Source organism: Homo sapiens, chromosome 5 (assembly GCF_000001405.40).
Source record: "Homo sapiens chromosome 5, GRCh38.p14 Primary Assembly".
Classification (NCBI taxonomy): domain Eukaryota; kingdom Metazoa; phylum Chordata; class Mammalia; order Primates; family Hominidae; genus Homo; species Homo sapiens.
This window is the reverse complement of record NC_000005.10, coordinates 77,690,262-77,715,231: the sequence shown is the minus strand read 5'-3', so window position 1 is coordinate 77,715,231 and position 24,970 is coordinate 77,690,262. Positions and strand designations below refer to the sequence as shown.

The 24,970-nt window shown below is 35.4% G+C and overlaps 1 protein-coding gene across 3 annotated transcripts in view; it reads left to right on the top strand.

Moving 5' to 3' along the window:
- Positions 1-24,066, top strand: part of TBCA (tubulin folding cofactor A) — an 85,174-nt gene extending 61,108 nt beyond the window's left edge. The window contains exons 2-4 of one of the 3 annotated variants that reach the window (NM_004607.3): positions 6,885-6,990; positions 21,880-21,966; positions 23,734-24,066. In NM_004607.3, the coding sequence (NP_004598.1) occupies positions 6,885-6,990; positions 21,880-21,966; positions 23,734-23,814 (274 nt within the window). In that variant the 3' untranslated portion in view covers positions 23,815-24,066. Of the gene's footprint in view, positions 1-6,884; positions 6,991-21,879 lie in introns of all 3 variants that reach the window. The other 2 variants (NM_001297740.2, NM_001297738.2) reach the window with 2 other exon arrangements.
- The last annotated feature ends 904 nt before the right edge of the window (positions 24,067-24,970 follow it).

Below are 24,970 nucleotides of genomic sequence, written 5' to 3'. Positions count from 1 at the left end.
TTTCTCAGGTGACATAGTAGATCAACTTTTTACATTTTTATGTAACTAAAAATAGATCCCTTGGCCTATAACTTCTTTCATCAGTTATTTACATAGCTTATTGCCTCTTTGAAATCTTAACTCATGTGTCCTCTTCTCAAAGAGACAATCCTATTTTAAATTGCAAACCCTCTGTATTACCAGTCCTCCTTCACGGCTTTTTCTCCATAGCACTTTTCACAATCTAACATGTTACATATTTTGCTTATTTAATTTTATTTCCCCACTAAAAAGTGCCATAGGGCAGGGATTTTTGTAGTTCATTGCTGTATCCTTGATATATAAAATCATACCTGGCACATAGTAGCCCTTTAATAAATAATTGTTGGCCGGGTGCAGTGGCTCACGTCTGTAATCCCAGCACTTTGGGAGGTCGAGGTGGGCGGATCACAAGGTCAGGAGATTGAGACCATCCTGGCTAACACGGTGAAACTCCGTCTCTACTAGAAATACAAAAAATTAGCTGGCCGTGGTGGCAGGTGCCTGTAGTCCCAGCTACCTGGGAGGCTGAGGCAGGAGAATGGCATGAACCTGGGAGGCGGAGCTTGCAGTAGGCTGAGATTGCGCCACTGCACTCCAGCTTGGGCGACAGAGACAGACTCCATCTCAAAAAAAAATAATAATAATAATAGTAATAATTGTTAAGTCAGTTAATGAATTTTCTTCTCCACCTTTTATTATAGTTATAAATCCAGGTTATAAATCATTTTCTCTCAAAACTTTGAAGGGATTGCACCATCTTCTTCTGATATCTACTGTTATTAATGAGAAGTGTAAGTCAATCTGATTCTTCCTTTTACAGATGACCTATTCTCTTTTTGAAAGCTTTAATTTTTATGGAGCTCTGGAAATTCTTTTTTTGTTTGTTTTTTTGAGATGGAGTCTCACTCTGTTGCCCAGGCTGGAATGCAGTGGTACGATCTTGGCTCACTGCAGCCTCCGCCTCCCGGGTTCAAGCGATTCTCCTGGCTCAGCCTCCCAAGTAGCTGGGATTACAGGCACCTGCCACCACACCTGACTAATTTTTGTATTTTTAGTAGAGATGGGTTTCACCATGTTGGGCAGGCTGATCTCGAACTCCTGACCTCGAGTGATCCTCCCACCTTGACCTCCCAGAAGTGCTGGGATTACAGGCGTTGAGCCACTGGAAATTCTTAATGTACATAGATGGGGTTTTTTTTTTTTTTCAATGGATTCTGTGTGCGTCTAAAAGGCACTTATGAAGCCCTTTCAGTTAAGATTGCTTTTCTTTTCCAGCTTTGGGAAATTTTATTCTTTTAAAAAAAAAATCTTTACTTGCTTTGTTTCTGTTCTGTCTATAACTCCTGTGGGTTATATAATGAACCTATCAGATTTATCTTATTTTCCTGTGGTGTTTCATTTCTCTCATTTTAATTTTACTTTGCTGTGGTGTAAACTTTAATATGCTTATTAATGTTTAAATAGTTAAATTTGGCATATTTTCTTTGACTAAAATAAAAAATCATAGTAGGCTGAAATAGTAGATTGATTTAATATTTGCATTTTGTCATTCACTAATAACTAATGACAAAGTTTGACTTACCACATTATTAGAAAAAGTAATTGTTAAGAAATGATCACTGGTTGACTGGAAAAGGAGTTAATTTCACATTATGCACTATGTATTTAAAATATTTTTTTAGGAAGAAAATATTTCATGTCTATAAAATTTGTAGGTAGGGATGCTCATCACAGTATTATTTATAATAAGGGAATGGCTTAAATATCCAATAGGATAATACTTCAATATGCTGTCATCTCAGTATTATGAAATACTTCACAATCACTAACAGCTGTATTTTCAAAGAACATTTAATGACATTGGAAGTGATTATTATCCAAATTATTGTTATTTATTAGTATTATTATATATTTTTTGAGACAGTCTTGCTCTGTTATTCAGGCTGGAATGCAGTGGCACAATTATAGCTTACTGCATCCTTGACTCCCTAGGCTCCAGGGATCCTTCCACCTCAGACTTCTGAGTAGCTGGAACTACAAAGGCATGCCACCACGCCTGGCTAATTTTTAAAAATTTTTTGTAGAGACAAAATCTCGCCGTGTTGCCCAGGTTGGTCTCAGACTCCTGGCCTCAAGTGGTCCTCCTGCCTCAGCCTCCCAAAGTGTTGGGATTACAGGTGTGAGCCGCTGTACCTGGCCCAAATTATTTTTTTATATATCTAAATATAAATTTTCACACACACATGTTGAGAGAAAAAGACTACTGGACAGTACTCAAAATGTTAATACAGGTCCATAATCCCTTACTTTGAAAACCCTTGGGCCCATATGTGTTTGTGAATTCCAAATCTTTCAAATTTTATAAAAGTAATGTATATTTCCATAATAGCATCTAGAGAAATGCTCTACAATCATACACATTAATATTTCTGCAGTGAAACGTAACTATTCACATTAGATGGTACACATAAATTCTATAAATCATTTTATCTCATTTGAGGTTACACTTTGCTGCTAAATGAGTTTGTTTCAAACAATAAACAATGTTCTTTTTTTAAAACTTCTTTGGGTTTCAAAATTATGTGTATTTTGAATCTGTAGTGATTATGAGTGATTTTTAAAATTTTGTTTTTTTATAATTTTTTATAAATATGTACATATGTACATTACAGAAAAATATCTTAATACAAATTTTAAAATACATACTTGTCTTCAGTATTCTTATTAAATCTTAGCCTTTCCTGCAAACGAGAGGAGCCAAATTCACCAGAAGATACTAATTTGTTGATTCAACAAATATTTATCCAGTAAATACTAGAGAGAAAACTAATACTATTTTAATAAGCATAAAGATGCTCAGCCTTATTACAGAAATATTTCAAACCATAATAGAAATACTATATCACACTCTTCTGATTGTCAGAAATTTAATAATTCTGACAATCCCAATTCACCAGGATGCCAAGAAGTAGGAAATTTCATACACTACAGGTTGTATGTCAACTGATAAAACTACTTTGGAAAGCAATTTGATGATATTTAGTGAAGTAGAAGTTGTATATATACTCTATAAAACCTCTTTAGCATCATCTGACTTGTCATCAGTACATTGATTTGTACTGTTTAAGAGTGGAACCTTTATTATTTCTCATACCGCATCTTACCCTAGCCTTTATTCACTATAATTTTACATGCTTGCATTATTGGGTTCTCACTAACTGACTGATTTTTTTTTTTTCTTTTTCAGGGCAACACATGCTATTCAATAACTTGTTTCCTGGGCCTTTTCACAAAATATGACTTTTTAAGCAAAAACGTAACTTGTATTTATTTTGATATTCCAATAACCATGCAAATACGCAGCACCTTTACTTATCCCATGTGATAGGTAGTTAAGTAACTCTTTAATGTTGCTGGAGCCATTGCTGCTGTTTTCCATAGACAAGCACAATGAAGTAGGATGACTTGGATTACCAGTCAGAATTATCTGTGGGCTTAGGCATAGAATCCTCCTCTTCTGTTGTATACTTCTTCAAAAGTTACCATGTTGTTCTTATTGCTCAATTTTTGTGAATCACTTTTTTTCTGCTTCAGAATTGTTTTATAAATATATATTTCTATCTTTAAATTGAAAATGTTAAAAGACAGTAGTGAGATTTCTAGACTCAATTTTTTATTCATTCAACCAACATTGAGTGCCTACTATGTAGGAAGATCAATTAAACAATATGAATACAACCTTATCCTCTCTTCAAGGAACTTAAGACCTAGCAAGTAAATGGCTTCGGTGTAGTGTGTTAATGCTGATATAATTAAGTAGGTGATGGACAGAATTAAGTGGAAGTCTTTCAAGTCAGGGGTCAGCAACCCTTTTTTGTAAAGGACCAGATATTATATTTTAGGTTTTGCAGGCCATATGGTTCTTCTATCACAACTACTCTTCTCTGCTCTTATAGCATGAAAACAGCCATACATGATACATAAATGAATGAGTATAGCTGTGTTCCAATAAAACTTTATTTATGGATATTAAATTTGAATTCTGTATTTTCGTATGACAAATCTTTTAAAAAATTTTTAGCCATTCAAAAATGTAAAAACTGTTCATAGCTCTGAGACTATACAAAAACAGATGACCAACCAGATTTGGCTCCCTGGCCATAGTTTGCCTACCCCTGTTTAAGTCTTTGAATTATAAGATGATATGGAATGGGCCTCTCTTTAATAGCCTATCCAATTCCAGCTACTTTCATTACTAGGGGAATTTAGTCACATACCAGGTTTAGAAGTATTGAAAGTCTCATTGCTAATCCAGTAGTTTCTGAATATCCTTGATATTCTGAATAATGATCATGATTATATAATGATAGTGATAATAAAACAACAATAATAATACTGTTGCGTTGATAATATGCACACAGGTCCCAAACTCAAAGGCGTGCAAAGGCCAAGTGTAATGCCTGACTGTTAAGGAAACAGGGAGTTATGTGAATTGAGGCAAGGGAATAGCATGTGACCCATCTATAGGAGACAACAGCCACTACTTAGCTCCAGCCAGTAGTGGGAATGCAGCCCTCATGTTTCCTGATGAAAACATCCAAGAGAAGCCAGAAATTCAGATGTATATGTCAAATCTCCCAGCTTTTTAATGTGACAACATTTTTTTTAAACAAATATTCTTTGTTTTTAACATTGTGAGTCAAATAAAATCATCTTTAGGTTTCATTTAAGCAGGCTGGCAATTTGCCATCTCTGTCCTAACAAGTTTCTTTTACTATTTAAAGGGAACTTTTTTAGATAAATATCTTTTGTGATATGCATTAATGATTTTATTTTAAAATATTATATCTCAAAGTATATTTTAATATTGAAAATTATTGCTAAAACAATTTTAAATTATAAATCAAATGCAGATTTCTGTATCTGACATTCACATGTTTCTGTTGTCATGCTTGAATGTATCAGTACTTGCAGCTTTCCCCTGAAGCTGACTTTGTGGTCACAGCTTTTTTTTCCTTTTTGCCAACAGCTTTATTGAGATATAATTCACATACCATACAATTAACCCATTTTAAGTCTACAGTTTACTGGCTTTTAGTAGATTCACAGAGTTGTGCAACTATCACCACAATCATTTTTAGAACATGTTTCTTACCCCCAAAAGAAACCTTATACCCTTTAGCTATCACCTTTCCAATTCCCCTGTTGTCCCCAGTCCTAAGCAACCACTAATCTACTTTACGTTTCTATAGATTTGCCCGTTCTGGATATGTCCTGTAATAAAATCATACAATATGTAGCCTTTTATGTCAGACTTCTTTTTTACTTAGCATGTTTTCAGGGTTCATCCATGTTGTGGCTTGAATCAGCACTTTATGTTTTTTATTGCCCAATATTCTGTTTTCTGGATATACCACATTTTCCATTGATTATTGGACTTCCACATTTTGCCTGTCTTGCATAATGTTGCTGTAAACATCCATAGACATGTTTTCTGTGGGCATATATTTTTATTTTTCTAGGGTATGTACCTAGAAATGGAATTGTCAGGACATATGGTTACTCTGTTTAACTTTTTGAGGAATAGTTAAACTTTCCTAAAGCTACTATACCAATTTTGATTGCCATCCAGCAATGTTTGATGGCTCCAATTTCTCTGCATCCTTGCCATCTTGCCAACAGCCAGATGGAGAAAGCTATTTTTATTACATATGTGCTATGAAAGCTTTTTCTTCTGCTCTTTAGATACTGTGTATATAGGAATGTTAATATTTTCTTAGACTATACTTTTATATTACAACTTTAAACAACCAGAATTAGGGAAGATTGAGCTATTATGATTAATATAATTTGGATTATCTGTGGGATAATCAGTAGAACTTTGTATTGCAGTATTTCTTATTGTTGAAACTTTTCCTGATGTACTTCTTTTAAAATACTTTTTCTTACTTTAGTAAGTAAATACTAGTTTGTTTCCACCACTTGTCTGTGACAGAACTGCATCTATCCCAGCTCCTTGCACAAGGAAAGTCTGGCATAAAATTAAACGCACAATAAATACTTGTTAAACGATTTTGTTGTTAAAAAATAATCCAGTCTTTCTTTGTTTTGGATTTGACATGCAATCTACTGAATTTTCCCCTGCCAGTAAACTGAGCTTTTATCATTGTGCTGTTTCAGATACATGTATAAAGGTTTGGAAGACATATTTAAAAAAAAAAAAAAAAAGACAGTTGTATTAATATATATTGGTATATACTAATTTTGAGTATCGCTTTCACATTGTAATTATAATATACTGAAGTGGGTTTTTAATTTAAAAATTAAGAATTTCATGCTTTGGGCCAGGCACGGTGGCTCATGCCTGTAATCCCAGCACTTTGGGAGGCCGAGGCTGGTGGATCACAAGGTCGGGAGATTGAGACCATCCTGGCTAACATGGTGAAACCCCATCTCTACTAAAAATACAAAATATTAGCCGGGCGTGGTGACGGGTGCCTGTAGTCTCAGCTACTCGGGAGGCTGAGGCAGGAGAATGGCATGAACCCGGGAGGCAGAGCTTGCAGTGAGCCAAGATCTCGCCACTGCACTCCAGCCTGGGAGACAGAGCGAGACTGTCTCAAAGAAAAAAAAGAATTTCATGCTTTGATAGATTGCACTTACGTTAGGCAGGTATAGGACTTAAGAGCATGAGGATCATGCTTATATTTATGACTAAACTATTTTTCTTCTGTTCCTTCCTCCCCCCATCTAGTATATCTACTTTGGTATTTTAAATATAATATGTTTTATATTTACACAGTTTCTTTCTTATGGTCTGGAGAGAAAGCTAATTTTCTAAAACATTTTTGGCTTTTTTATAGGTTGGTCAAAGAAAAAGTGATGTATGAAAAAGAGGCAAAACAACAAGAAGAAAAGATTGAAAAAATGAGAGCTGAAGACGGTGAAAATTATGACATTAAAAAGCAGGTAAAATTATATCATAAATAACAATAGCTAACATTTACAGAATGCCATATTAACTAATGTAGTTTTTACAGTAGTCCTCTGACTGAGATTATATTATTATTTACTTCTTTACTATTAAAACTTCCATTTAAAGATAAGGAAACTCAAACACAGGTTAAATAACTGCGCAAATCACATAGTTGTTAAGTGACACAGCTGAGGTTTTGTTTTGTTTTGTTTTGTTTGAAACAGGGCCTCACTCTGTCATCCAGGCTGGAGTGCAGTGGTGTGATCATGGCTCATTGCAGCCTTGACCTCTTGGCTCAAGCAATTCTCCCACCTCAACTCTCTAAAGTGCTGGGATTACAGGCATGAGCCACCACACCTGGCATAGCTAAGATTTGAACACAGGCATTCTGGCTCTAGTATCTGTACTCTTAACCGCTAAATTCTACTGTCTTTTCCAATTTTAAGTATCAGATATAAAAATGGACTAATCTTATATTAATTATATATTTAGATTCACAAATATTGTCTCCACACTGATGTGAAGACTACAAAAATAAAATACGCATTGCACTTTTCAATGGCTACTTGTGATTGTCTTCATGACAAATTTCAGTGGCCTTAACATTGCATACAAGGCTCTTCTTGATTTTGAATCAAGAAATGAGGTTACATCTGCTTATCTAACCTCATTTCTTACCAATCCCTGTCTCAACCTCTTAGGTGCCTTATAGCTCCCTGAACATGCCCTTTCTTCTTTGCCTCTGAAATTTTGCATGTCTGGGATGCTCTTACTCCTGGCCTTACCTACCCTCTCCTTATTAATTTCTGTTCTTCCTTGAGGTCTCTTCTACTCTCACCTCAAACTGAGTTAGGTGCCCCTCCTTTTTGCTCCCATAACACTTTCTTTATTCCCATGATAGCATATATTGAACATTCATTCTCAGCTGACACTTGCTTCATAATTCCTTGAGAAAATAGAGGCCGTTAGGGAACTTTCTCATATTCTTACGACAAAATCTGTCAACCTATCTGCATCTGTACCTGTACCACTTTCCTTCCTGTAAGAGTGGACTATGTGCCCTAGCCCTTGTTATAACTATCAGTGACATTGTTATTACTCTTTTTTCCCTCATCTTAAATACCTCAATAGCATCTGACACAAGTTACCACTTTCACCTTGAAACTTGACATATCCTCTGAGGTGTTCAAAATTAAAATCTTGATTTCACACTACTCCAACCTACTCTCCCAAACAAAAAACAATTTCTTCTTTCTTTTTCCTCATCTCAGTGAATGGTACCTCCACTCATCCAGATACTCAGGTCAAAAATTTAGTTGGTCCCTTCTTGATATTTTTATCTCTTTCTCATAACCACATCTAATATCAGCATCATCTCCTATTTCTTTTTTTCTTTTCTTTCTTTCTTTTTTTTTTTTTTTTTTAAGATGGAGTCTTGCTGTGTCACCCAGGCTGGAGTGCAGTGGTGCAATCTTGGCTCACTGCAACCTTTGCCTCCTGGCTCAGCTGATTTTCCTGCCTCAGCCTCCCAAGAAGCTGGGATTAACAGGCATGCACCACCACGCGCAGCTAATTTTGTATTTTTAGTAGAGACGGGGTTTTGTCATGTTGGCCAGGCTGTTGAACTCCTGACCTCAGGCGATCTGCCTACCTTAGCCTCCCAAAGTGCTGGGATTACAGGGGTGAGCCACCGCACCCAGCCAGCACCTCCTATTTCTTACTCTCTCTATTTTTCTCTCTATTGCCATTGTTCTAGTCTAGTCCACTATCATCTCTTGCTAGTACTATTTATTGCAAAAGCCTCCCTGTTGGCATACTTCTTTCACCAGGAATGGGACATCCTCCATTCCTTCCCCACCACAACAACTAAATAAATCTCTATAAAATGTACCTCAGATCACTTGGTCTTCTACTTAAAATCTAGTGTTAGATGCATTTAAAATAATTTCCAGATGACAGTTTAAAAAAAGGAGAATGTGAACCAGCTTGTACAGACTATATCTTAAAATTTATTTTTAAAATCAGCTTTATGAACTCACAGTCATTTTTGCCATGTAAATCGTGGCATAATTGGTAATCACACTTAACTCAGGCTTTATTCAGCAAAATTAATCAATCATTTAAAATAGAATTTTTTGTAGGGAGTTGCTTTCTACCGTGCAAAAGAAATGCAGCAGCAGCTGAAACAACCTGTTGGCTGTGTCTTCCCTTGGCTATCTAGGAAGATAGCTTTCTTATTTTATTAAGCTTTTAGGAGAGGCCATCTTCCTTTATTTGTGATACAGCACTGTGTGTATAAAAGACATTTGTGTGTCAGATACTCATAAATTGAGGGAGGATTAGCAAACAGATGTGTAGATATAGTATGTCCCCTTTATTTTTTAATATTAATAAATTATATTGGGCAGTGGGATCTCTCTGTGATGCCCAAGCTGGAGTACGGTGGTGTGATCCTAGCTCACTGTTACTGCCTCAAACTCCTGGGTTCAAGTGATCCTCCCACCTCAGCCTCCAGAGTAGCTGGGACTACAGATGTGTGCCACCATGCCTGGCCAATTTTTAAATTTTTTATAGAGACAGGGTCTTACTTTCTTGTTTAGGCTGGTCTTCAACTCCTGGCCTCCAGTGATCCTCCCACCCCAGCCTCTCAGAGTCCTGGGATGATAAGCGTGAGTCCCCCCTACCTGGCCTTGTCCGCCTTTATGAACTAACGACCCTTCATAAGGATTTACATATGGAATGTAACTTTTTATTCTTAAAATTATGATATATACTGCTTTTGTACCTCTTTCACTCTTAAGTCTTCTATTGTTTTCCTACATCTAGTGGGAAAATATTATGACACAGTATATAACTTTATTTCATCCAGGTCCTTCTTGGACTTCATCAGCTTGTTTTCCCAGTCATGTAGCTAGTGACCTCATTTAGTCTTTTTCTTTGCCCTGCTTTTTTTCACCATCAATAATGTATTTTAAAATAGTCCTATAGCTAAAATAGGAGTTATCAGTTACATGGAGTAGAGGAATAAATGTGTTCCCTTTCTAAATAAAATTTTACAAATAAAGTTATGGGTTATCACAGAACCTGTTTTATTTCATTTATAGTTATGTATGTATCATCTTTCAATGAAATCACTACTTTATAGGTAAAGATTAACTACTGAATTCTGTGTTGTAATTGTCATTTGAAAATACCAGCCACACACTAGTTACATTACTGACTACATACACAGATGTAAAAGGGGAAAAAAAATTGTTCAAAAGTTGTTTCTACCCTCAGACATGTTAAAATTCTCTTTTTGGTCATAGGTATCATATTTTTTAACAGGATTTGTTAGATTCATAGCCAACTTAGTACTTATTCAGAAATAACATTTCATATCTGATTACAGAACAATAGTTGTTTCTGTTTGCTTCTGTTGTCAACCTACCATGTATATAGTTGTCAATTGCAGTTTTGTTTTAGAGTTTCCTAAAAACTTGTCTTTAGCCAACCTACATACATTTCTTAATTTCTTTTCCCTGGCTTAGCTATATTGTGGCCATTCTTTTTTTTTATCATATACAATGGGTGTTGCATAACCAAAAGGACTGCTCTGTTTGTGATTGCCTGGGACTTTAAGTTCAGCAATGGTTTTCTTAACATTTATTGTGCCTTTCATAGAAAATATCAAGACAGCCAAGTGCTGCATTTTGTGGGTTTTCTACACTTCTCCCTAGATTTCTTCCTCTTCTGAGCTAAACACTATCCTCAGTCACTTCTCACTACTTTGGCTCTTCTCTCACTTGGATCCGTTTTGCTCTGGCTTTCCTACTTCTTCTAAATTGGCTGTATTTTAAGCACACAGTTAAGGTGCTATCTCTTATTCTCTACCAAACTCTTACCTGAAGATGGTTGCCAAAAATCAGGGGACAGTCCCTCTGTTGGACTAGTTATAATTTTGGTTCTTTTAAAATAAGTAATTAGGCCAGGTGCAGTGGCTCACGTCTGTAATCCTAGCCCTTTGGGAGGCCAAGCTGGGTAGATCACTTGAGCCCAGAATTTGAGACTAGCCTGGGGCTAGCTTGTTTGCATTAGTCCATTTTCATACTGCTATATAGAACTACCTGAGACTGGGTAACTTATAAAGAAAAAAGGTTTACTTGACTCACAGTTCCACATGGCTGGGGAGACCTCAGGGAACTTATAATCATGGCAGAATGTGAAGGGGAAGCAAGCACCTTCTTCACAAGGCGGCAGGAGAGAGAGAGAGAAGGAGAACAAGTGGGAAGTGCCGCACTTTGAAACCCTCTGATCTCATGAGAACTCACTCACTATCAGAGCATATAGGAAACCGCCCCTATAATCCAATCACCTCCCACCAGGTCCCTCCCTAACATGTATGGATTACAATTCAAGATGAGATTGTGTGGGGACACAGAGTAAAACCATATCAAAGGTGAAACTCTGTCTCTACAAAAAATAAAAAAATTTTATTAGGATACAAAAAATTAGCTGGGTGTGGTGGTGTGCACCCAAAAGTCCCAGCCACCTGGGAGGCTGAGGTAAGAGGATCACCTGAGCTCAGGAGGTCAAGGCTGCAGTGAGCCGTGATCATGCCACTGTACTCCAGCCTGGGTGACAGAGTGAGGCCTTGTCTCAAAAAATACATAAAATAAAATAGAAAATTTAAAAATAAGCAACTAGGTAAAAGTTTTCAGGAGGCTAGAATATCAGTCAATTAAAGATTTATTCTGTCTTTTTTTATTTTCTGGCTAAACAATATAACACGTCATTCAAATATTGCCCAAATTGATTTTAGCCTTCTGCTTCTGATATCTCTCTTCTTCTCCACCAATTAGGGTTGGGTACAGAGGGTTTTGCCCTCACTTGGTAAAGCTTTCTGGTTTGTTTTTCAACCTATCCTGGGGCATAATGATTGGCAGTAATGACACTCAGTCAGACATATCTCTGTCATTTCTCCTGAGGCACAACTTATCTCTTAGGTTCCAGAAGTAATAAGACAAACTGGTATAATTTTTGGACAAAGAGTTCTCAGTTTTCTCACAAAAGAGTTTTCACAAAAGCTTTGCAATTATTGCATATAGTTACAGTAATGTAAAATTCATCTTTTTGAAAAAGATGTATATGCTTTTTTTTACTCTTTGAAACAAGAGTGAACATTTACAATGACATGTTTCTATGTTTTTCCTAAAAATAAAGGGGAAATGTTTTTCATTAAATATATGGAAAATATTAGGAGGCTTCAGTCAACAAAGAAGATCCCCCTTTGACCAGGAGTGTCTCACAAGGCTGATCCTCAAAGAAAAACCCAGATTTTCTTTTAATCAGTAGTAAAAATATGGAAAATAACTTACAATCATCCAAGAAAATGTGTTTGTCTCTTGGTACCTATATGCAGGCTTATAGAAGGTAATACACTTGCTTTTTAAATTTCTTGTTATAGATTTCACAGGAAATTCCAAAAGATATTCAAAGAGGTGTCGTTACATCCTTCATCCTTCCTTCCCCAATGTTAGTATCTTGTATAAATATAATACAGTATTCAAACCATGAAGTTTGCCTTAGCACACCACAGAGCTTACTCATATTTCACTAGTTATACCTGCACTCATTTGTGTGTTTGCATGTATAGTTCTCTGCAGTAGCATGTGCAGCAACCAATCAAGATGGAGAACTGTTCCATCGCAAAGCTCCCTCTTGCCACTTCTTTTTAGCCACCCAATCCTCTCTGCTCCCAAAACCCTAAATAATTACACTGCCTCAAGAATGTCACATAACGTAGAATGGAATCTACAGTATGTAACCTTTTAAAATTGGCTTTTTCTATTTTATATAATTCCCTTTAGGTCCATTGAAGTTACTGAGTGTATCAATAGTTTGTTCTTTATTACTGCTAAGTAGTATTCCATGGTTTGGATGTACTAACATTTAACCTTTGATGAACATTTGGATTGTTTCCAGGTTTTTGCTGTTGTGAGAAAAGCTGCTGTGAATGTTCATGTACAGTTTTGATGTGAACATAGGTTTTATTTTATTTTATTATTTCTGTAGGTTTTGGGGGCACAGGTGGTATTTGGTTACAAGAGTAAGTTCTTTAGTGGTGATTTTTGAGATTTTGGTGCACCCATCACCCAAGCAGTGTACACTGTACCTGATTTGTAGTCTTTTATCCCTCACCCCATTCCCACCCTTTCCCTCTGAGTCCCCAAGGTCTATTGTGTCATTCTTACGCCTTTGCATCCTCATAGCTTAGCTCCCACTTATAAGTGAGAACATATGATGTTTCCTTTTCCATTCCTGAGTTACATCACTTAGACTAATAGTCTCCAGTCCCATCCAACTTGCTGCAAATGCCATTAACTCATTCCTTTTTATGGCTGAGGTAGTATTCCATCATATATCTATATATACTGAGTTACCTCACTTAGAGTAAGTCTCCAGTCCCGTCCAAGTTGCTGCAAATGCCATTAACTCATTGCTATTTGTGGCTGAGTAGTATTCCATCATATATATATATATATATATATATATATATATATATATATATATGCATGCCACAGTTTATCCACTTGTTGATTGATGGACATTCGGGTTGGTTCCACATTTTTGCAGTTGTGAATTGTGCTGCTATAAATGTGTGCAAGTATCTTTTTCATATAATGACGTCTTTTCCTCTGGGTAGATACCCAATAGGAATTGCTGGATCAAATGGTAGTCCTACTTTTAGTTCTTTAAGGAATCTCCACACGAATGTGCTAGTTTACATTCCCAGCAGCAGTGTAGAAGTTGTTCCCTGTTCACCACATGCACACCAACATCTATTATTTTTTTATTTTTAGATTTTGATCGTTCTTGCAGGAATAAGGTGGTTATTGCATTGTGGTTTTGATTTGCATTTCCCTGATCATTAGTGTTGAGCATTTTTTCATATATTTGTTGGCCATTTGTATGTCTTCTTTTGAGAATTGTCTATTCATATCGTTAGCCCACTTTTTGATGGGATTGTTTGTTTTTTTCTTGCTAATTTGTTTGAATTTGTTATAGATTTTGGATATTTGTCCTTTGTCAGATGTATAGATTGTGAAGATTTTCTCCCACTCTATGGTTGTCTGTTTACTCTGCTGACTGTTCCTTTTGCCATGCAAAAGCTCTTTAATTAAGTCCCAGCTATTTATCTTTGTTTTTATTACATTTCCTTTTGGGTTCTTAGTTATGAAATCGTTGCCTAAGCCAATGTCTAGAAGGGTTTTTACAATGTTATCTTCCATTTTCATGGTTTCAGGTCTTAGATTTGTCTTTAATCCATCTTAAGTTGATTTTTGTATAAGATGAGAGGTAAGGATCCAGTTTCATTTTCCTACATGTGGCATGCCAATTGTCCCAGCCCCATTTGTTGAAAAGGGTGTCCTTTCCCCACTTTATGTTTTTGTTTGCTTTGTCAAAGATAGTTGGCTGTAAGTATTTGGGTTTATTTCTGGGTTCTCTACTCTTGAACATAAGTTTTCATTTCCATAGGATAAAAGCCTGAGAGTGCAATTACTAGGTTGTATTCGTGTGGTTTTTGTTTTAAAAGAAACTACCAAACTCTTTTCCAGAGTGGTTATACTATTTTATGTTCCCACCAGCAATGATTCAATTTCTCTACATCTTCACCAGCATTCAGTGTGATCTCTATTTTTTAATTTTAGCATTTAGCCATCAGCTATATGATAGCTGTATAGTGATAACTCATTGTGCTTTTAATTTGCATTTCCATAATGGCTAATAATGTTGAATGTTTTTTCATGTGCTTATTTGCTGTCTGTATATCCTCTTCAGTGAAAATGAGTGATCAGGCCTTTTGCCCACTAATTGGATGCTTTGTTTTTTTTTTAACATTTGAGTTTTGAGAGTTCATTGTATATACTAGACACATGCCCTTTGTCAGATACGTGGTTTGCAGATATTTCTGTCTGTAGTTTGTCTTCTTATCCTCTTAACAGTGTCTTTGACAGGGAAACAGGGATTTTTGTTTTTGTTTTTGTTTTGAGACAGAATCTTGCTTGGTCGCCCAGGCTGGAGTGCAGTGAGGAGATCGCGGCTCACTGCAACCTCTGCCTCCTGGGTTGAAACGATCCTTCCACCTCAGCCTCCCAAGTAGCTGGGACTGCAGGCATGCACCACCATGTCTGGCTAATTTTCTTTTTTTTTTTTTTTTTTTTGAGTCAGAGCCATACTCTTTGCTGGAATGCAGTGGTGCGATCTCAGCTCACTGCAACCTCTGCCTCCCAGGTTCAAGCAATTCTCCTGCCTCAGCCTCCCTAGTAGCTGGGATTATATGCGCCTGCCACCATGCCCAGCTAATTTTTGTATTTTTAGTATAGAAAAGGTTTCACCGTGTTGGTCAGGCTGGTCTCGAACTCCTGACCTCAAGTGATCTGCCCGCCTTGGCCTCCCAAAGTGCTGGGATTATAGACATGAGCCATCGCGCCCAGCCAACAGTTTTTAAATTCAAGAATGTCCAATTTATCAGTACTTCCTTTTATGAATCATACTTTTGGTTTCAGGGCTAAGGCCTCTTTGCTTGTCTTAGGTCCTAAAGATTTTCTATTTTTTTCCCTAAAAGTTGTATGATTTTGTGTTTGTATTTAAGTCTTCAATCCGTTTTGAGGTAATTTTTATATAAAGTGTTAGGTTTGGTTTGAGATTCATCTTTTTGCCAGTCAATGTCCAGTTGCTCCAGCAGCATTTGTTGAAAAGGCTGTCTTCCTTTCATTGAATTGCTTTTGTATCTTTGTCAAAAATAGTTGGACATATTTGTGTGGGTTTACTTTTGTGTTCTCTCTTCTGGTTCATTAACAATACTGCACTGTTTTGATTCTGTACTGATGTAGTAAATCTTAACATTGGGAAGAATGAGTGTTTATTTTATTTTATTTTTTTCAAAATTATTTTAGCTTTTCTAGTTTGTTTTGGCTTTCCATGTAAATTTTTAAATAAGCTTGTCTGTATCTATAAAACACTTTTTGATAGGAATTGCATTAAACCTATAAATCAGTTTGGGGCAAATTGATGTCCCAGTTAATGGATATGGTAAGTCTTTCTAATTTATTTAGGTCTGATTTCCTTCATCAGCATTTTATAATTTTCAGCATACAGATCCTGCACATTATAAATGTATAGCTAAGTATTTCTTTTTTTTTTTTTTTTTTTTTTTTTGATGCTCTTGCAAATGGTATTGTTTTTAGTTTTGGTTTCCACATACCATATTTGTTGTTAGATATAAAAGTGCAGTTGATTTTTGTTTTTATGTTGATCTTGTAACCTGCAAACTCACCTTGCTGAACTTATTAGTTCTAGGATTATATTCATTTTCTTTCTCAGACCTGAATTACATGGATTGATTTTCAAATATTTAACTGTCCTTGCATACGTACAATGAATCCCACTTGATACTGGTCTATAAATAATTATTTGTATACATTGCTGAATTCAGTTTGCTAATTTGTTGAAGCAGTTTTCGTTTTTTGTGCTGTCTTTGTGTGGTGTTGCTGTAAGGTTAATACAGATTTCATAAAATCATTTGGGAATACTGATTTCAAAAATCATTTGTTCCTTCCTTTTCTGTTTTCTTGAAAGATTTGTGTAAAATTGGTGTTAATTGTTATTTAAATGTTTGGTAGAATTGTCTATTGAAATTATCTGGGCCTGGAGAGCTCTTTTGTAGGAACTTTTAAATTGCAACTTCATTCAGCAGAACATTGGAGAAAAAGTATTTTTTAAATTAACAACAACAAATAAATTACAACTTCAGTTTCTGTAGTGATTGATTAATAGGACTATTTAAGTAATTAAGTTTGGGTAGTTGGTAGTTTTTGAGGAATTGGTCAATTTCTTCTAAGTTGTTTATGAGCATTATGAACAATATTATAACATCATTTATATTATTTCTTTCTTCTCCTTTTAATAATTGCAGGATCCGTAATGATATCCTCTATTTCGGACTGCTTTTGGTGACTTGTGCCCTTTCACTTTATCTTTGTCTGTCTTAATAAAGGTTTATCAGTGTGTTTTTTTTTTTTTCTTTTCAAGAAACCAGCTTTTTGGTTTTTTAATTTTATTACTATTTTTTTGAGACAGGGTTTCACTCTGTCGCCCAGGCTGGAGTGCAGTGGTGTGATCATGGCTCACTGCAGCCTTAACCTCCCAGGTTCAAGCAACCCTCCCATTTTGGCCTCCCAAGTAGCTGAGACTACAGATGTGTGTCACCACACCTGGCTAATTTTTTGAGAGATGGGGTCTTGCCTGTTGCCCAGGCTGGTCTCGAATTCCTGGGCTCAAGCGATCTGCCTGCCCCAACCTCCCAAAGTGTTAGGATTACAGGCATGAGCCATGGCACCCAGCCAAAACCAGCTTTTTGTTTCATACAGTTTTGTCTATTGCTTTTCTGTTTTTAATTTTGTTGATTTCTGCTCTTATATATTATTTCCTTCTGCTTGTTTTAGGTTTATTTTGCTCTTCTTTTTCTAGGTTCTCGAAACAAGAACTTATTTAAATTAAATTAAAACAAGATTATTAATTTCAGACCTTTCCTTTTGATTAATGTAAGCATTTAGTGCTGTAAATTTCCCAACAGACACTGCTTTAGCTGCATCCCACAAAATTTGACATGTTATATTTTCATTTCCATTTATCTGTGTCTTTATTTGAGACTTTTTTTTGGCCCATGGGCTACTTAAAGTATGTTGTTTAATTTCTAAGTAGGGATTTTCCTTCTTTCTGTTATGATTTCTAATTTTACTTCATTATAGTCAGATAATGTATTATGTAGGATTTCAGTTCTTTTAAATTTGTTGGGGTTTTTGTTATTGTTGGGGTTTTTTGATCCAGAATGTGGCTTACTTCAGTAAATATTTCATGGGCACTTGAAAAGTATTTGTATTCTCCTTACTTATTAGAACATTGTATTCTCATTTCTGAGGTAGAGTGTTCTACAAAAGTCAGTTACACCTTGTGCGTTGGTGTTGTTCAGTTCTTTTATACCTTTACTGATTTTCATCTAATATTTCTATCAGTTGCTGAGAGTGGGGTATTGAAATCCCCAGCTTATGTATATGGATTTGTCTGTTTTTCCTTTCAGTGCTATCAGTTTTTGTTTTACATATTTTTAAACTCTGTTGTTTAATGCATGCACATCTAAGATCACTGTATTTTCTTGGTAGATTGATAATTTTATGATAATGTAACATCCCTCTTTGTCTGTAATAATTATTTTGCTTTGAAGTTTACTTTATCTGGTATTAGTTTAGCCACTCCTGATTTATTGGCTTTTTAGAGGCAAGGTCTCACTCTTTTGCCTAGGCTGGAGTACATTGTCACGATCATAGCTCATTGTAACCTCCCAGCTCCTGGGCTCAAGTAATCCTCCTGCCTCAGCCTCTTGAGTAGCTAGAACTAGAGGCATGTGCCACCACACTCACCTAATTTTTATTTTTTGTAAACAGAGTTTCACTGTGTTGCCCAGGCTGGTCGCAAACTACTGGCCTCAAGCTATCTTCCTGCCTTGGCCTCCTAAAGTGCTGGGATTATATAGGAATGGGCCACCATGCCTAGCCCTGATTTTTTAAATTAATGTTTACATTATATATATTTTCCCATCCTTTTATTTTTTATTTCATTATGTTTGAAATGAGTTTCTTGTAGACAGCATGTTATTGGGTCCAATCCATGAATCTCTGCCTCTTAACTAGTGTATTTACATCATTTACATTTAAAGTAATTATTGATACATTAGAGCGTAAGGGCCCAAAGATCATTTTTTTTCTTTGACTTAAGATTCTTCTTACAATCTTACTCATTTAGCAATAACCACAAAATACAAGTCAGATAGATTTCCTGAGAAGTGAGTACATTAACATTTTACTACCATCTAAAGGAAACACTTAACCATTATTCCAGTAATCTCTGGATTACTCTAGAGCTCAACCTGGCAAACTAATGCCATTGGTTTCAGAGGGTAGCCAGTAGCCAATATTAGAGTATCTATTGATTGTTATAGCTAAAGGTATAGCCAGCTTCTGATGGATGATCTGGATCCTTAAAGAAGCTGGAAACCTCATCACAATCAAGCAATAACCTAAGAGCTTGATTGACATTGGCCAGATTATTTCACAGAACTCTTCTTTCTGACAAAAATGAAGATCTGCCAATTGGGGTATATCCTTTCCAATTTACATATGTTTGACTCTAAAGGAAATTGATTAGATTTTAGGTTCAGCCATTTATTCATTGTTATAACCTGAACCTTGCTAAACTAACTCCCAACTTCCATTTTACCAAATAAGTACCCCCTATAAAACCATAACTTGTTTTAAAAACAATTAGACATCAGTGAGTACCACATCCTGTTGTGTTTGTTCCTCTAAGGTTCTTTGCATCTCCCAGTCTGTGCCAAGATCCTGAATTAAGCTCAGATTTATCATAGTCAACATTAGAATAAACTGACAATTGACTCAGATATTGTAAACAGAGGCACAATTCATTTGACTACTACCTCCCAAGGGAAACACTTTGAAAGATAATATTCATTTAATTAAGTTTAGGTGTTTTGGGGGGTATCTTTACATATATAATCACACCTCATATACTGTGTTTTAAAATTATTCCAGACAGTTGGAATTCATTGTCCCAAGGTAAAATATATGATTTATGGCTTTGATGAAGATGTGGTTTGTGGATTCCAAATCATAGCCATCACTGTGTTCCTTTGCCTCTCTGTGGCATGATCTTCTTGAAGCAATCTCAAATGTTTCTTTTCATGTTAATACACCTAGACTTACGGATTTGGAGGACAGAGACCTTTTCTTTTTCATCTTTGTATCCTCAGTACCTGGCATCCTGAAGACGTATAGTAAACTTATTGAATGAATTGGGGTAGTGTATGGGAGAGCCTGAGCTTTGGCCCTGTGTAAGTTGGAGTCCTGTTTTGATAGACTGAGGATTCTTGATCTGTAATAATAGATAGAATTTTAATGAATAGAAGTTATTTTTGGATGGCATTGTCTAAAGTTTTTTTTGGTGGCTAAAACTTAGAAAATATTTCTTTTTACAAACACATATTGTGACTTGTCATGGATTTGACCTAGTCATTTCATCTTGTTTAATTCCTGTAACGATTCTGAAGGGAATTCCATAGGAAAGGAAATAGGAAAAAGCCACTAAGAAATATTCCTGTCACTGATTTTTCACATATATTCAGATTAACCAGATACACAAAAATAATTTAATGGCAGTGGTTAAATGTGTAGGTATAGTATGATTAGCTCTGAAGTAAAATAATGATGTTATGTTTGAAATTTTCAACCTGTGCCTTATTAGTAAAAGAGGTTTAAGTTCAACAATAGATTTCCACCTGAGAAAATAGATGTGAATAAAGAACTTCTTTGTATGTTATAATTGAGATTTTTGTTTTCAATATGAGCTCTGACAAAGCTATTTGGGAAAGGAAGAAGGTACTGGGACTTAAAGTTTCTATTAAAATATAGTATTATTACCGTTAATCTCCTTAGTAAAAAGCTCAGATTGTCTACCTATTTCTTTAAAGGTATTTGACCAAACATTGTTTTTTTGGAAATAAATGTTTAGATGAGCTCTATGTTTCTTTCTGAGAATAGTTTAAGGAAATAAAGCTTCCTGCTACTCTAAGAAAAAGCCCTATTTGAAGTCCAATATGTGGCATTAACTTATTTACTCTTATCAATTGGGTTTCCCTGTCATTGATTTGATTTTTTTTCTTTCATGATTTGATGTGTTATAGTCCAGTTTTGAATGATGGACTTTACGTCCAGAAATATCCTCTAGAATACATATTTCTGTGTTTAATTCTGTAGTGTCTGTCATCAGGAGGAATAGGCAAGAAGTTTAGATTCAGAGGGGTGCCACATTGGTAATTTGGCTCACATTGCATGGGGAGAATAATCGCTCTCCTAAAATGAAGCATGAGGATAAGTAATAACTTTTTATGCATGATAAGCATCAAAAATATGAACCTGCTGGTCTTTGCTTTTCGTTTTTCTTTACCTCTCTCTTTCAGTGTGAACCTCCTGCAGTGTGCACACGATGTGATCAATAACTCAATAACTTTTTTCATGCAGTAATTATCTCCATGTGATATTATCTGAACACTGTTTTTCTTTATTACTCAAAAGATGCAGGAGATATTTATATAACCAGCTGATCCCATTTTAGATAAAGGTGCTTTGCAACAGCAGGGGAAATAGTTTATTTTAAATAGCCTTTTAAAATAAATGCTCTATGAAAAGCTTTTCCAGTTAACTTTCACTTAGCATGAGAAGGTGATTACCAAAAAGATTTAGTTCTAAAACTTGCACTTTGTAGATTTTACAGTATGATAGTCTTTCTTTTCTAACTTTTTTTTTTTTTTTTTTTTTTTTGAGATGGAGTTTCACTCTTGTTGCCCAGGCCAGAGTGCAATGGTGCAATCTCAGCTCATCACAGCCTCCGCCTCCTGGGTTCAAGCGATTCTCCTGCCTCAGCCTCCTGAGTAGCTGGGATTACAGGCATGCTCCACCACGCCCTGCTAATTTTGTATTTTTAGTAGAGACAGGGTTTCTCCATGTTGGTCAGGCTGGTCTTGAACCTCCTGACCTCAGGTGATCTGCCTGCCTCGGTCTCCCAAAATGCTGGGATTACAGGCGTGAGCCACTGTGCCTGGCCTTTCTAACTTCTAATAAATACAATTTAAGTTAAAATATTGAACCATTTAACATAACCATAACTTTTTTCTGATTCCTCTTAATAAGGATATACTTACCAAGATATGAGCTAAACACCTACAAGTTCTGCCATCTTTGAACGTCTCACAGAGATTCTCATTCTAGGCAGAGATCCTACAAGAATCCAGGATGATGATCCCAGATTGCCAGCGCAGGTTGGAAGCCGCATATTTGGATCTTCAACGGATACTAGTAAGCAAAGACTTCTGTGTCATGTTTAAATTTTTTTTTTCAATCCAATACATGGAAAGCCAAAAGTTTAAATATTTAACACTGAGAACTAGTTGGCAGTATTTCTTATTCACTTGCCCTTTATACCGCTATATTTTAAAATAATTAATGGAGTTTAAATTGTGTTTTGAATTATGCCTCCAGTAAAAGTACTGTTTTCTAGCATGTTTGTTCAGTTTATTAAAATTTAGCTAGTTAAATTTATTTAAGTTATGATAGTACCAGTATTGTCCAGCAATGTCTTGATTATTTGGTTTTCATACATAAAGATCTTTTGAGACATTGAGGATGAGTTGACTGATTAAAATTTTAAAAGATCTAATGTTTCAAAAGAATTTGGGATCTTATTAAAAGGATCTTGAATTCTTTCACATTCAAACCTAGATCAGTTTGAGAGGGGGAAAAAACCTGGTAATCTATGTAGTCCCCTCATACTAACTTGGAGCTGAATAACACTTATACTTGCTGGTATAAATGCCTTGTGATACAGAAGGTAGATAAAGCAGGAAATAATAACTGTTAAAATACTATCTAAGACAGGAAGCATCATTTGTATTTCTTGACAGTTTAAATGCTTTTTTCTCTCATGAATCTAGTAGCTGAGAAAGTAATAGAAATTGCTTGGAAAAAAATAATGTTGGCCGCCAGGTGCAGTGGCTCATGCCTGTAATCCCAGCACTTTGGGAGGCTGAGGTGGGTGGATCACGAGTCAGGAGTTCAAGACCAGCCTGACCAACATGGTGAAATCCTGTCTCTACTAAAAATACCAAAATAATAATAATAATAATAATGTATTTGGATGATATATTTGTATGTGAAGATGTATTCAACAATATCTCTGCCCTTGAAGAGCTTGTATTTACTAACAGAGAACAAAGATGTGTTTAAGGTATAACATGGAGGTTTAAGAAATTCTTACGTATAGTTTGAGCTAAGCAAATTCTCAGTCGTTTTGCTTTCAGTTTTCATATTAAATACACACATACTTTATTTCCTCTACTGTTTGTATATCTCCATCTTTTATTGACCTGACATAAATTGCTAACCATAGCTTCATTTAAAAATCAAACAAAATTTCCTGTGTACTTTAGATAATATTATTTCATTTGTCTGTTATCATTACAATATATTAGTAAAAGTTGCCTGTATATCAGTATTATGGAAAAACTCAATCTTTAAATATCAGAAAATGAAAGATGTATTTTGTTTCCTTTAGTGTAGGGTATGTAATACCCATTAGCAAGCAGGCAATTCATTTGTTTAATTCAAAGATTATATTTAACTCTGTTGTGACATCAGAAGCCTTCTTTGTCATTGTGAATAGTCAGTGGATTATTTTGGCCTGAATGCTGTCATATATGTAACATGTTAGTAAATCTTCCTTTTTACTTTTCTCTTTTGTATGATGATGATGGGTCAACAAAATGAGAATAAACTTTTTCTGAGGTTTTTATTTAATTAATGCTGGTAGCTTTAGAAGACTGTTATTCACTTATTTTATGAGAATATATACAGTGAAACAAAACCACCAGTTATTTCTTCCTTTCCTTGTAAAGAAGGAACAGAATGTGGGAAACCTGTGGAATTACAATATATTTAGATGAGGCTTGGGATTTTTTACTTTTAATTTTTTAGTTATTAACATTAATGGTTTGTAATATTTGAGTAAATAACAAAGTACTGAAACTTGAAAAGGATAAACTTAATTTTTATTGTATTTCATTTTAGGAAAATGAAAAAGACTTGGAAGAAGCTGAGGAATATAAAGAAGCACGTTTAGTACTGGATTCAGTGAAGTTAGAAGCCTGAAACTTTTCTCGTATGGGGTGGTTTTTGCATTAAATCCTGGGGTCCATTTTACAATCCATTATTTTTGACCACTGCTATGTGTTCAAGTAGTATGAGAATGTGATTGTTTTTATCTGGTTACATATATATTTCTTTGTCTAATTTAATATGTCAAATAAATGAGTTCATCTAATAAAATTGTTTATTTTATACTTTACAAAATTTTTAAATTAACCTTTTATCATTAAACCACATAGACTTTATGACAGAGAACTATAATCTGTTAGGTTCTATTCGAAGTCTACATATTTTGCTTCACAAGCATGGATTGAGTTTTAAAAAATAGAATACCATTTTTTCAAATAACAATCCAAATTTTAGTTGGGTGTAGTGGTACATATCTGTATTCCCAACTACTGGGGAGGCTGAGGTGGGAGGATTGCTTGAGCCCAGTAGTATGAGGATGCAGTAAGGTATGATTATGCCAATGTACTCCAGCCTACGGAACATAGCAAGACCCTATCTCTAAAAGATTGAATTGTAAGCAGTTTATTTGGAATAGAATACAACTGATATAAAAGGAAGAACTCTCTTTGGGGAAGGTCTCACATAATAAGGCCTTCACAGTGAAACTCTAACATTTCCATGACTATAAATGAATGAGAAACATTTAAATCTTTTTCGAGGACAGATTCACACAGAAAACACCCCCAACCATTTAGATCTTCAAATAAGATTCTTATGAACAATGAAGAGTTGAATGGTATTTTGAAACAATAATGGCCATTGCCAGTGAAGTGCTGGCAAATATTTAAAGACTCTTCAGAATAGGAGGGGAACCTCTGATTGGTAGCTTTTGCTGATTTCTGTGGTATAAATACTCCTACCTTTGACCAATTTCAAACTACTAATATGACATCACTGAACACAGAGTTATGAAAATTTGGGCCAGCTCCACCATAATTTGGCTGTAGCCAATCTTGATTATCTAGATTGACTCGGGGGGGAAAAGTATCATTTTGTCAGAAAGCATTTTTCCAGTACAATTGTGACCCTGTTACCCAATCACTTGAGTTTATTTTCCAAAAATACAAGACAACTCATTTAGATTTTTTATATTTCCAGAAAATGTGTGTGAGCCTTATATCACCAGCCTAATGGGCATTGGTGTAAGGAA